Source organism: Homo sapiens, chromosome 3 (assembly GCF_000001405.40).
Source record: "Homo sapiens chromosome 3, GRCh38.p14 Primary Assembly".
In the NCBI taxonomy this organism is placed as follows: Eukaryota; Metazoa; Chordata; class Mammalia; order Primates; family Hominidae; genus Homo; species Homo sapiens.
The window spans coordinates 185,290,581-185,305,516 of NC_000003.12; the positions used below are offsets into that span (position 1 = coordinate 185,290,581).

The window sequence follows — 14,936 nt, forward strand, 5'->3', positions numbered from 1 at the left end:
TGCTTTCTGTTCTGGAGCCAGAGAGCCCAAGTTTGAATCCTGTCTCTACTATTTACCAGCTCGGTAATTACCTGAATTTCTTAATTTTTTTGTACTTCAGTTTCTTTATCTGTAAATAGGAGACATTAGTAGTATCTAATTCATGGACTGTTGTGAGGATTAAAGGAATTAATCTACATAAAGTGTCTAGAGCAGTGCCTGGCACAAAGTATAGATTCAGTAAATATTAGCTGCTATTATTATTAGTTTTTAGGCAGGTTTATACAAGCATATAAGATAAACAGAATGAGCACAAAATTAAGTCAGTGAGATTAAAAACCTCTTCTGAAAAAGAGAAGGGAGAGGTATGGAACAGAGGCTAGTATACCCTGAGGGACAGAGGCCTCTGATAATTATTTACTGTGCTGAAATTTCAGAGGGCTATAACCTGTCTTTTGTTGCATCATGCACATGTTTACAATATTTTTACTATGTTTTTCATTTGAACCTTGCAAAGGGATCTGAATTTTTCTATTTGAAGGCATTGTTTCTTTTTCTCCCTGTTTAAATATTACAATATTTTTGAACCATAATACTTCCACATCAGTTTATTTCCCTACCCCACAAAGTGAACATCATTTTATGCTATCTCTTCCAACAAGCATTTTGGCTATGCTTTCAGAGATCAAAAGCTCTTTAAGACAATTTGATATCATGGATAGAGATCAAAGACATACAATAAATTATCATCAAATCAGTGTATCTGACTACAGCCCCAGGGAGATTCTGTAAGAACTTTAAATTCTGTTGCAATTTTCAGTGAAGGGTATTAATCAAAGAGATAAGCCAATGAACATATTCAGCCATTTTGTCTACTGTACCTTTTCAAAAAAATTTTTTTCCTTTTCTTTGTTTTTGATTTTCTCCTTTTGTTCTTTCAGCATGGTATCTAGTAATCTGATTAATTACTGACCCAAAAGTAGTTTTTAATTTCCCTTAAAAAAATTATTAGACTTGTAGTAGAATTTTTTTGTGTTTTGTTTTGTTTTCAAGCATCAAGTACCACGTTTTTGAAGACCATGGCCTATCATCATTATGCATTCAAGATTTGAGTTTGAATAACCTCATCAAGACTTAGATCTTCTTCAGAAGCTTCAAGTCTCATCTGCATTAAAGCTCTCCATTGAACCCTCTCACAAAAGTACAAGCTTAAAGGGGCTAAAATCCATTAATACATTCCATTTTATATCCCTTCCTCTGACTTCTCTTCAATTTCCTTGGCCTCTAGGGTCCTTCATATTGCTTACGTTCCTTTAGACTAGAGCCAAGGAGACAGTGCTTTCCAAAAAAAAAAAAAAAAAAAATGTGTTCTGTGGCCATAAGTTTTCATTGATAGAGAAGCATAAATTTGGTGAATTTAGAATTAGGTCTTTTATCATATCCTATAAAAAGTTGAGTTAACAGGCTGGGCACGGTGGCTCATGCCTGTAATCCCAGCACTTTGGGAGGCCAAGGCAGCTGGATGCCCCAAGGTCAGGCATTTGAGACCAGCCTGGCCAACATGGCGAAACCCCATCTCTACTAAAAATACAAAAATTAGCCAGGCATGGTGGCAGGCGCCTGTAATCCCAGCTACTCGAGAGACTGAGGCAGGAGAATCACTTGAAACCAGGAGGCGGGGGCTGCAGTGAGCCAAGATCACGCCACTGCATTCCAGCCTGGGTGACAGAGCGAGACTCCGTCTAAAAAAAAAAAAAAAGTTGAATTAACAATAAGGAAATGAGGATGAAGCGGTAAAAATGTTTTGGGTTACATTATACTCTCAGAAGCTATGTGGTTTAGAGAAAAGGGCCCCCAACCACAAAAGTTAGTGGTTCTTATTCTGTCTGCTTCGTACTAGGTATATGGTAACTGAGAAAGTCACTTAACCTCTCTGAACCTTAACTTCGTCATCTATAAAGTGAATCTAACATTTTCCCCCCGGCCTACCTCACAGGGTTGTTGTGAGGATCAAATGAAATAATGTACATGAAAAGACATATATAAAATGTATAATACAGACAAAGGGTCCTGTTACACAGTTGGAAGTCATTCCCTCAGATTTTGGGCCTAGGAAGGTAGGTGATTTAAACTCACTGAAAGCATGTACCATGTCCAGGTTGGATACATGGCAACAAGGCTATGTTAAATTTTTTTTCTCTGAGTTGAGTCCCTAAAATACTATCATGGGCTAATTCTAAGAAGGAGCACGAATATATATTCCCCTAAAATTATAGCTTAGCATTGTCAATGCTTTAGAGCAGTTATGGGAGTTATAGATTATAACATATTAGTGATTTGTGAAACTTTTTTACTAAAATGTGACCCTCATTTTTCTTTACATGAAAGAACATAGAATATTTCACAATGCATCCCACGTGGTAAGAATAAAAAATTGTTTTAGTTATATGTACAAATGTGTGTGTGTGAACGTGTGTGTACTTGGTCATTAAATAAAATGTACTTTTTTTTTTCCTGTGAGTTGCACTTGCTGTTCTTTCTTTCTTTTCCTTTTCCTTTTTCTTTTTCTTTTTTTTGAGACAGAGTCTGGCTCTGTCACCCAGGCTGGAGTGTAGTGGCGCAATCTTGGTTCACTGCAACCTCTGCCTCCTGGGTTCAAGCGATTCTCCTGCCTCAGCCTCCCGAGTAGCTGGGACTACAGGCACTCGCCACTGCGCCTGGCTAATTTTTATATTTTTAGTAGAGATGGGGTTTCGCCATGTTGGCCAGGCTGGTCTCAAATTCCTGACCTCAGGTGATCTACCTGCCTCAGCCTCCCTGGGATTACAGGCGTGAGCCACCATGCCTGGCCTCTTTTTCTTTTTGAGACAGGGTCTCACTTTATCACCCAGGCTGGAGTGCAATGGCACAGGCTACAGCAGCGGCATGATCATGGCTCACTTCAGCCTTGACCCACCAGGCTCAAGTGGTCCTCTCACCTCAGCCTCCCCAGGTAGCTGGGACTACAGGCACATGCCACCACACCCAGCTAATTTTTGTATTTTTTGTAGAGATGGGGTTTCATCATGTTACCCAGGCTGGTCTTGAACTCCTGAGCTCAAGCGATCCACCCGCCTTGGCCTCCCAAAGTGCTGGGATTACAGACATGAGCCACTGTGCCCGCCCATCAGTTGCTGTTCTTGGAGTACCATTTTGGCACTAATGCCTTCCTACACATTTGGATTCCTAGGAGACTCAGCATTTTTTTTCACTTTATGCTACTACTCGTGACAAAGAATTTAATATCAATTTGACTTATGGTGTAATTGAAATATTTTTTATTTTGTAGCACAGAGAAAGCCTATATGCCTTATGGATATTTAATATTTTAATATCTATTCTGATAATAGCATTTAAAAGGTTGCTTCAACCTCTACTAGCAGAAGGATTGTGTCAAATATTTTGCTTTTTAATTTTTTTTTACTTGTATCTTTCTGGCCTAATGGCAAACAAAACCCTCCTTTTAGCATTACTTGAGGACTAAGTAGAGAGAGGCTATCGAGAATGTAGTTAGCATGACTGGGAATTTGATGGTCTCTGGAAAAGAAAATGCCATTTCTTTTCTTTCTCTGAGTAACTAGGTTTATCTTTAGTTTAATGATTTAAGATAAATAAGTCACTGACATTAACTTGTTCAACTGTTACTCCTAAAAATAGATATCTCCCTCTTTGATGATAGCATTGGTTAGGTTAGCATAGGTGACTTTATTATAGTGTCCGTGAACAATAGGGCATGGTTGTGCTTTCCAATTCATTGATGAAGAACTAATTTTTTAGTGCTTTAGTGTACTGAAATGCTGTCTTTAGTGCCCTGGAATTACTTATTTAAACTGTGATAGAAGGTTGTACAAGGTATTACTTTTCTCTGCTTATAAATTATATGAATGTACATAGTCCTAGCAATATGAATATTTATCAGAAGATGTATAATGTAGAATCCAACTGCCTCATTCTTCCTGAACAGCCATGGCCAAACTTCTTGCATTAATGGAGACAGAATGAATTGCAAAGGTTGTATAAATCGAGGCTGTTATGTTTATGACAATTGGCAGCTGTGGCATAAAAGGCTCATTACTATATGTAATTGACATTTTGTTGTTCCTTCTTCCTCCACTCCTTTGCCAAAAAATGGCATTGGTATTACTACCTCTCCATGTAGGAAGTAGGATCTACCTATGAGAAAGTTCAAGAGAGTAGTTAAGCAACTTCAGCTATCCCTGACCTTCTTCCACAACCCTCATGAAACTAATCCATTGCAAAATTCTGTCTTTTCTACTTCCTAAATATCTTTCAAATTATTCACCTGTTTCCATGTCCATCCTTATTTATTTTATCATCTTCGCCTACATTTTTGCAATAACTCTTCAATGGTTTTTTGTATTTACTCCTCCCCCCTCTAATCTCATTGCTTTTAGACTGATTTTTAAAAATACAATTCTAATCTTTTTGGTCCTCCAATCTAAACTCTTATTATCTTATTGCCCTTAGAATTCAGCCCCAAATCTTCAATCATTCTTTGTCTACTAAGCTCAAGCCATAATGGTCTTCCAATTCTCTGACAATGCCATTTTTTTTTCTTCAGGGTATTTGTTGTTGTTTTTGTTGTTGTTGTTGTTGTTGTTTTTGAGACGGAGTTTTGCTCTGTCGCCCAGGCTGGAGTGCAGTGGTGCAATCTTGGCTCACTGCAACCTCCGCCTCCCAGGTTCAAGCAGTTCTCTGCCTCTGCCTCCCAAGTAGCTGGGATTATAGGCGCCCGCCACTATGCCTGGCTAATTTTTGTATTTTTAGTAGAGATGGGGTTTCACCATGTGGGCCAGGCTGGTCTTGAACTCCTGACCTCGTGATCCACCCACCTGGGCCTCCCAAAGTGCTGGGATTACAGGCGTAAGCCACAGCGCCCAGCCTTCTTTAGGGCTTTTGCAGAGCAGATACTTTCTGCTTGGAATGCCCTCCTCTCTCCTGTTCCTCTTCACATAACCCACTTCTACTCATACTACCAGTCTCACTTTAAATATTATTTTTTCCAAGAAGCCTTCCTCCATATCTCAGACTAGATTAGACCTCCCTTCTCTATCATTCTGTCATAAATCACCCATTTTTTTCTCACATCTAGCATAGTTGTAATTATTTCTCATATATAATCATTTATTAATAATCTTACAAGACAACCTTCAGGAGGGCAATGACTGGTGCATGTTTTATTACACTGTATGCCCAGTGTTTAGGAAATTTCCTGGCAAATAGTAGGGATTCAGTAAATATTTGTCAACTGATTCTTCCCACAGCCACCACTCTTCACTTAGATATTTCAGTACTGTAAGTTCTGGGTTGTTTAACTTCCTCTGTTCAAAACCCTCCTCTTGACTGACTGCAGTGCTCACGACTGCAATTCCAGCACTTTCGGAGGCCAAGGCAGGAGGATTGCTTGAGGCCAGGAGTTCAAGACCAGCAACACAGTGAGACTCCAGTCTCTACAAAATAAAAATAATTTAAAAATGAGCCGGGCATTGTGGCACACACCTGTAGTCCCAGCTACTCAGGAGGCTGAGGTGGAAGGATTGCTGGAGCCCAGGAGGTCCAGGCTGCGGTGAGCCATGATTGTGCCACTGCACTCCAGCCTGGGTAACAGAGCAAGACCCTGTCTCAAACACACAAACCAAAACCCTTCAGTTGCTTCTCATCTCACTCCAAGTATGAGCCCAAGTCCTTATAATGGTCTCCAGGGCCTTACCTGATATGCCTCTGCTCTCTCCTTACCTCTCTACCATCTATTGGACTACCCAGCCCAGATCTCTTAGCTGATCCTTAGAAATGCCAAGCTTCCTTCTGCCTCAGGACCTTTGTACTTGATATTCCCTGTGCCTGGAATACCCTTGCCTTAGATATCTATCTGGTTTAATCTCTCATCTTCTTTAGGCCCTTCAGGTTATGTGACCTCAGTGAGGCCCTCTTTGACCATCTTATTTAAAATTGTAACCTCACTACATGGCATCCCTAGTCTTCTCTGCTTTACTGTTCTCCATTGTACTTATCTCTGATTGGCATTCTCTTCATAGGTATTTTCCCCAGTGTTGAGAACAGTGACTGACACATGGTGGGCCCTTAGAACTTATTTATTAGTTGAGTGAATTTAACCTGTACTCACAGAGATGCATATTTGGGACAATGAGACCTGTAGCCCAAATTATGAGGACTTAATATTTCAAGATGATTTTACAAGATGAATTAATTAAATTTATTTATATCCTGCCTTGTTCTAAAAAATATTTTAAAATGCATATAGTATGTAGGATGGGGACATAAAGAGAATAAGACAAAGCAAATGTAATAGTATTAAAGTGGGTAAAGTTAATGTACAGAAGGTCCTGCACAGTGGCTAAAGTCATGTTATAAATTTGACTTATTAGAGAGTTAGGTTGCTCAGAAATGATTGAACTGGAATCAAGAATTTGTTCTCTGGCACAGGTCACAGATATTTGAGTCTTACATAGAAACCCAGAAAACCTATTTAACTATAAGACATTGTGCAGTTACTCTTCTAAAAAAAAACTTGCTTTCTGTATTAGGAAATTTCCTATTGGCATAAAATGTACACAGTCTGTCCATTACAAAGGCTCTGCTACATTTGAGAGATGGTAGTCACAGCTACTACCTCTGCTTATGTCATGTCCAGGACATTCCCAAGGTTGATTTAAACCTAGTAATTGGATATTTTTGAAAGCTGTGAAAAATACCAACCAGCACATCAATTACCCCAGTTTCTCCTCCTCTAATCATGAGGTAGCATGAGAGTCCAGTGGTTGTGGCTTCCTTCCTTTTGAGGTAGATAATTGGCAACTTAGAAATAGGTTATTGGCTGGGCGCAGTGACTCACACCTGTAATCCCAGCATTTTGGGAGGACAAGGCAGGCAGATCACCTGAGGTCAGGAGTTCGAGACCAGCCTGGCCAACATGGTGAAACCCTGTCTCTACTAATAATACAAAAATCAGCCAGGTGTGGTGGCACATGCCTGTAATCCCAGCTACTCGGGAGACTGAGGTGGGAGAATCTCTTGAACCCAGGAGGCGGAGGTTGCAATGAGCTGAGACCGTGCCACTGCACTCCAGTCTGGGCAACACAGTGAGACTCCGTCTCAAAAAAAAAAAAAAAGAAAAGAAAAGAAAAAGAAACAGGTTCTTATGTAGTCACAACTAAACAGGGTAGGAAGATTGGGAGTTAGATGAATTAGACTTCAAGAAATTTTTCACCAATACAGTAACCAAAATAAGAGCTACTCTCTCTCTCTCTCTCTGTGTGCATACAATTAATAGATATTGTACAGTACATGTCTTTCTGTTCATGGTATGTATAGTTTCCTAATTCTGTCTTTTTTTTTTTTTGTCTTTTAAAACTGAGTCTGAGAATTATTGCCATGTCTGCAGGCCAGAGATAAAGCAGGGAACGTGGCGACGGACTACAGGCCTTTCAGTAAACTCTGCAGTACCTCACTAAACAAAGCTGGTATTTTTGAGGCAAAAGATAAGAATATTTAGCTAAATGGTGTTCCACTTGCAAAATGTGCTAGTTCTTATTTGATTTTTTTCTTCTTTCTTAGAAAGCTTTCTCTTTTCTATCTTTTACTTAGAGATAAATATTACATTTGAAGTCACATCTGTCCCACACCATTTTTTTCAGGGTTGAAAGAGGAAAACTAAATGAACCATAGACTTAGGGAAATAATGGAAATATGTATGTTTTAAAAAAACCATTTATGTTCCACGTATTTCAAGGAAAGGAAATGAGGAGAAACATTAAGAACACCACAGAACCATTAAAATGGACAACTCAAAGGGAAAGTATTTTACCAAAAGCATTATGTATAACATGTTGCTGATTAAATTTGTGTTGTTATATTTAATGTGTAAGTATACATTATCCTAACTAATTTAAAATATGTTTATTGAATTTACTTTACATATTTTATTTATTTGATGGAACTTTATGTTCATTTTTTAAGAAGTCAAGTATCTCCTCATTTTGGCATTTGATGAGTAACGGGAGAAAACCTGAGAAGAGACAGAAGTAATGCAAAGGTCACCGTATCTTCCAGCATAAGTGATGTAGAAACAGAAAGATCTTATTTTCAGTCAAAGTGGTGAAGTGGCAGAAAGAAAATATCCCCCAACTGGTTTGCTGACACTAATTTTGCCATATAGTGAGGACAAAAAAAACATGTCTAGGCGTTTAACTCATTATCTCCTAAACTATGGTACACAGAATGTCTGACACAACTGCAAGAGATTTTGTAAGCCAAAAGGGTTCTGTAATGACATGTTTGGAAAATGTTGCAGTCTTTTTTGAAAGTTTATAGTGTATCTTAACACGTTCCAAACGTGTAATCACAATTCTTTTTCGCTCATAAAATCTATTAATAACCCTTGGAATCATCTTTCAGGAAATGCTGAAAATTTTGCTTCTGTTTAGGATGTAGAATGTTGCAAGAGAACATTGTTCCCATCATAACAATGAGAAAAATCTTGATAATCCACAAAGTCATGATGCTTCTTGAGCTCATCAGAGAGTTGAGGTCACAAGGCAATCAGATGAACTGAAATTCCAAAGAGAGGCAAGCCCTTTTGAAGAGAGACAGGACACAGAAACTGTGTTACCTTTGGCAGAGCATAGGAGGAAGAGAAGGCACCGTAAAGGTAGGTAAGAAGAAAGCAGCTAAAACTGTAATGAATTCTTAAAGGCTGAATGTGGGCTAATGTAACATTTCAGAATAACGGGAAGCCCCAGTCACAAAAGGAGCCTGCACTCACTTGCAAGCTTTCTTCTGTGGGCCCTTGTGTTACTTTCCTAGGGCTGCCAGAATGAAGTACAGCAATGTGCTGTGTAACAACATTTCAGTCGATGACCCCATCTTCATATTGCTATCTTCTCTGTATGTCTGTCTGTTTTCTCTCTCTCTCTCTTTTTTTTTTTTTTTTTTTTTTTTGAGACGGAGTCTCGCTCTGTCGCCCAGGCCGGACTGCGGACTGCAGTGGCGCAATCTCGGCTCACTGCAAGCTCCGCCTCCCGGGTTCACGCCATTCTCCTGCCTCAGCCTCCCGAGTAGCTGGGACTACAGGCGCCCGCCACCGCGCCCGGCTAATTTTTTGTATTTTTAGTAGAGACGGGGTTTCACCTTGTTAGCCAGGATGGTCTCGATCTCCTGACCTCATGATCCACCCGCCTCGGCCTCCCAAAGTGCTGGGATTACAGGCGTGAGCCACCGCGCCCGGCCCTCTCTCTCTCTTTTTAAAACAATTTTTAAAGATACAGTACAGTAGTGTTAACGGTATATATATTGTTGTGAAACAGATCTCTAGAACTTCTTCATCTTGCAAAACTGAAACTCTGTACCCCTTGAATAACTCACCTTTTCTCTCTTCCCCATTCTACTAGTAGCACCATTCTACTTCCCATTTCTAAGAGTTTGACTATTTTTGATACTTCACATAAGTGGAATCATGCAATATTTTTCTTTTTGTGGCTGGTTCGTTTCACTTAACACAGTGTCCTCAGAGTTCATCTGTGTTGTAGCATATGATAGGATTTCCTTCTTTTCTTTTTTTTTTTTTTTTTTCAGACAGAGTTTCACTCTGTTGCCCAGGCTAGAGTGCAGTGGCACGATCTCGGCTTATTGCAACCTCCGCCTCCCCGGTTCAAGCTATTCTCCTGCCTCAGCCTCCCGAGTAGCTGGGACAGGCACCCGCCACCACGCCCAGCTAAGTTTTTGTATTTTTAGTAGAGATGGGGTTTCACTTGTCTCGAACTCCTGATCACAGGTGATCCACCTGCCTTGGCCTCCCAAAGTGCTGGGATTACAGGCGTGAGCCACCACGCCCGGCCCTATTTCCTTATTTTTTTTTTCTTTTTTTTCTTTTTCAGATGGAGTGTAGCTTTGTTGCCCAGGCTGGAGTGCAATGGCGCCATCTCGGCTCACTGCAACCTCCAGCCTCCCAGGTTCAAGCAATTATTCTGCCTCAGCCTCCTGACTAGCTGGGACCACAGGTGCCTGGCATCACGCTGGCTAATTTTTGTATTTTTAGTAGAGACAGGGATTCACCATGTTGGTCAGGCTGGTCTCAAACTCCTGACCTCAAGTGATCCACCTGTCTCAGCCTCCCAAAGTGCTGGGATTACAGACATGAGCCACCACGCCTGGCCTACCTTCTTTTTTAAGGCTGAATAATATCCATTGTGTGAATATACCAAATTTTCTTTATTCATCTGTTGGTGGACATTTAGGTTGTTGGCTATTGTGACCAATACTGCAATGAACATGAGCGTGTGAATATCTCTTTGAAATCTTGTTTTGAATTCTTTTGGATATATACCCAGAAGTGGGATTGCTAGGTCATATGGTAATTCTATTTTTAATTTTTTGAGGAACTTCCCTACTGTTTTCCATAGCAGCTGCACTATTTTACATTCCCACCAACAGTGTACAGAGACTCCAAGTACTCTACATCCTTACCAACACTTATTATTTTTATTTATTTATTTATTTTTAATTAATTAATTTTTTAACAGTGGTCATCCTAATAGGTATGAGGTGATACTATTCTGGTTTTAATTTCCCTTTCCCTGATGGTTATTGATGTTGAGGATCTTTTCATATGTTTGTCGGTCATTTGTATCTCTTCTTTGGAGAAATGTCTGTCAAGTTCTTTGCCCATTTTTAAATTGGATTTTTTTTTTTTTATTATTGAGTTGTAAGACTTCATTATATTAATATATTCTGGATTTTTGTCAAGTTCTCTTGAGAAACTTTTTAAGGTTGCCTTTTCACTCTTAGATTATTTCCTTTGCTGCATGTAAGTTTGTAAGTTCGCTGTAGTCCCATTTGTCTAATTTTTGCACTTGTTGCCTGTGCTTTTCATGTCAATATCCAAATAATAATTGCCAAACCCAATGTCATTAAGCTTTTCCCCTGTGTTATCTTCCAGGAGTGTTATAGTTTCAGGTCTTACAGTTAGGCCTATGATCCATTCTGAGTTCATCTTTGTAGTCAAATTTTATAGGACCTTTGTATGGCAAGGGTCCAACTTCATTCTTTTGCATGTGGACATCCAGTTTTCCCAATGCCATTTGTTGAAGAGACTGTCCTTTTCCCATTGTGTGACCTCAGCACCCTTGTCAAAGATCATTTGACCATATACATGAGGGTTCATTTTGGGGCTATTCTGTTCCATTGGACAATATGTCTGTTTATGCCAGTACTATTCTGTTTTGATTACTAAAGTTTTGTAATATATGTTGAAGTCAGGAAGTTTGAGGCCTTCAGCTTTTTCTTCTTTCTCATATTTTTTAAGGCTATTCAGAGCCTTTTGAGATTTCATATGAATTAAAAATTTTTGTTTTCTATTTCTGCAAAAATGTTGTTAGGATTTTGATAGGGATTGCGTGAATCTGTAGGTCACTTTAGGTAGTATGGACATTTTAATAATATCTGTAGGTCCCTCTAGGTAGTATGGACATTTTAATAATAAGTCTTGCCAGGCGCAGTGGCTTACGCCTGTAATCCCAGCACTTTGGGAGGCCAAGGCGGGTGGATTACTTGAGGTCAGGAGTTCGAGACCAGCCTGGCCAACATAATGAAACCCTGTCTCTACTAAAAATACAAAAAAAAAAAAAAATTAGCTGAGTGTGGTGGTGCACACCTGTAATCCCAGCTACCTGGGAGGCTGAAGCAGGAGAATTGCTTGAATCTGGGGGGCAGAGGTTGCAGTGAGCTGAGATCCCACTACTGCACTCCAACCTGGGTGACAGAGCGAGACTGTCTGAAAAAGTAAATAAATAAATTAACAAATAAATAATATTAAGTCTTCACTCCATGAGTATGGGATGTCTTTTCATTTATTTGTGTCTTCTTTAATTTCTTTCAGCAATGTTTTATAGTTTTCAATGTACAAGTCTTTTCCCTCCTTCTTTACATTTATTCCTAATTATTTTATTCTTTTTGATGCTATTATAAATGGGTTTGTTTTCTTAGTTTCGTTTTTCAGATTGGTCATTGTTAGTGTATAGAAACACACTGATTTTTGTGTTTTGTATTCTGAATCATTGATTTTGTATTCTGCAACTTTGCTGAATTCATTAATTTTTTGTGGAATCTTTTGGTTTTTCTACATATATAATCAAGCCATCTGTGAACAGAGATAATTTTACTTCTTTCTTTCCAATTTACATGCCTTTTATTTCTTTTTCTTGTATAATTGCCCTGGCCAATACTTCCAATACTATGTTGAGTAGAAGTGGTGAAGGTGGGCATCCTTCCCTTTTTCCTGATATTAAAGGGAAAGTTTTCAGTATTTCACCATGGAGTGTGACATTGGCTGTGGACTTTTCATAAATGGCCTTTATTGTATTAAGATAATATCCTTCTATTTTTAGTTTGTTGGGTGTTTTTATCATGAAAGGAGATTGAAGTTTATCATGCTTTTTCTGAATCAGTTGAGACGGTCATATGGTTTTTGGCCTTCATTGTGTTAATGTGGTATATTATATTGATTGATTTCATATGTTAAGCCATCCTTGTGTTCCGAGAATAAATCCCACTTTATCATAATGTATAATCCCTTTAATATGCTGTTGAATTCTGTTTGCTAATATTTTGTTCAGGATTTTTACATCAGTGTTCATCAGGGATATCAGTCTGTAGTTTTCCTAGAGTATCATTGTCTGCTTTTAGTATCAGGGTAGTGGTAATTAGTTTGGAAGTGTTTTATCCTCTTCAATTTTTTGAAAGAGTTTGAGAAGGATCAGTGTTAATTCTTCTTTAAATGTGTGGTAGAATTGTCCATTGAAGGCATCTGGTCCTGGCTGTTTTTGTTGTTGTTGGGAGGTGTTTGATTACTGATTCACTCTCCTTACTAGTTACAGGTCTTTTCCAATTTTTTTTTTTTTATGATTCAGTCTTGGTAGGTTGTATGTTTCTAGAAATCTATCATTTTTTCTATGTTATCCAATTTGTTTGCATATAATTATTCATAGTACTCTCTTACAATCCTTTTTATTTCTGTGGCATCAGTTGTAATGTCTTCTCTTTTGTTTTTAATTTTTGTTATTTGAATCTTCTCTATTTTTTACCTTAGTCTAGCTAAGGATTTGTCAATTTTGTTGCCTTTTTTAAAAAGACAAGTTCTTAGTTTTGCTGATTTCTTTCTATTATTTTTCTATCCTCTATTTTATTTATTTATGTTCTATTTTTTATTATTTCCTTCCTAATACTAATACTGGGTTTAGTTTATAATTTTTTTTTGGTTCCTTGAGGTGCAAAATTAGGTTGTTGATTTCAGATCTTTCTTCTTTTTTATTGTGTGTTTACCACTAATAACTTTCCCCCTTAGTACTACTTTTGATGCATCCCATACCTTTTGGTATGTTGTGCTTTTGTTTTCATTTGTCCTCAAGATATTTCCTAATTTTTTGTGATTTCTTGTTTGACCAATTAGTTATTGAGCATATTGTTTATTTTACACATATTTGTGAGTTTTCCAGTTTTCCTTTTGCTGTTGATTTCTCGTTTTGTTTCCTTGTGATTGGAAAAGATGCTTGGTATGGTTTCAGTCTTCTTAAATTTGTTAAGACTTGTCATGTGGCCTAACGTGTTATCTGTCCCAGAGGATGTTCCATATGCCCTTGAGAAGAATATGTGTTCTGCTGTTGTGGAGTAGAATATTCTGTACGTCTGTTAATACCAATTGGTCTGTAGGGTTGTATAAGTCATCTGTTCTCTTATTGATTATCTGCCTGGTTGTTCTATCCATTATTAAAAGTGGGGCATTGAAATCTCCTACTATTATTGTGTTACCATCTGGTTTTTCTTTCAGTCTGTCAATGTTTCCTTTATATATTTGGGTGTTCTGCTGTTACAAATATAAATACATATTTATAATTGCTATTTCTTCCTAGTGAATTGACCCTTTATTATATAATGTCCTTCTTTGTCTCTTGACAATTTTTTTTAATTTCAAGTCTCTTTTATCTGATATTAGTGTGGCCACTTATGTTCTCTTTTTTTTGAGACAGAGTCTCTCATTGTCACCCAGGCTGGAGTACAGTGGCGCGATCTTGGCTCAGTGCAACCTCTGCCTCCCGGGTTCAAGCGATTCTCCTGCCTCAGCCTCCCGAGCAGCTGGGACTACAGACATGCGCCACCATGCCCAGCTAATTTTTGTATTTTTAGTAGAGATGGGGTTTCACAATGTTGGCCAAGATGGTCTCAATCTCTTGACTTTGTGATCCGCCCCCTTCGGCCTCCCAAAGTGCTGGGATTACAGGCGTGAGCCACCGCACCCGGCCACCCCTGTTCTCTTTTGGTTATCATTTGCATGGAATATCTTTTTCCATCCTTTCACTTTCAGTCTATGTGTGTTCTTATATCTAAAGTAAGTTTCTTATACATAGCTTATAGTTGGGTCTTTCTTTAAAATCCATTTTCTATGTCTTTTGATTGAGAGTTCTGTTTACATTTGAAGTAATTATTGTTAGGGAAGGACTTACTATTGCCATTTTAATATTTCTTTTCTATATGTCTCGTAGTTCTTTTGTACCTGTTTTCCTCTCTTGCTGCTTGCCTTTTTGTTCTGTTGACTTTTTGTAGAGAGAGACATGCTTTGACACCTTTCTCACTTTCTCTCGTGTATCTTCTAAAGGTATTTTCTTGGTGTTTACAATGGGGATTACATAAAACATCTTATAATTGTAACAATCTATTTTAAACTGATGTCAGCTTAATTTAAACCATGTACAAAAACTCTACTCCTTCACATATCCTCTACTTTATCAATCTCACAAATTATGTCTTTTATACTTTGTATCTAGTAATATAATTTCATAGTTATAGTTTTTTTATGCTTTTATCTTTTAAATTCTACATGGGAATTA

The 14,936-nt window shown here is 38.3% G+C and overlaps 1 protein-coding gene across 5 annotated transcripts in view; it reads left to right on the forward strand.

Moving 5' to 3' along the window:
* MAP3K13 (mitogen-activated protein kinase kinase kinase 13) overlaps positions 1–14,936 on the forward strand; it is a 206,134-nt gene that overhangs the window by 7,620 nt on the left and 183,578 nt on the right. Inside the window, exon 3 of one of the 5 annotated variants that reach the window (NR_038322.2) lies at positions 1,033–2,499. The exons of 3 other annotated variants lie outside the window; for them this stretch is intronic. The gene's annotated coding sequence lies outside the window, so the exon portion shown is untranslated. Of the gene's footprint in view, positions 1–1,032; positions 8,708–14,936 lie in introns of those variants that run through there. One more of the 5 variants, XM_047449193.1, reaches the window with a different exon arrangement.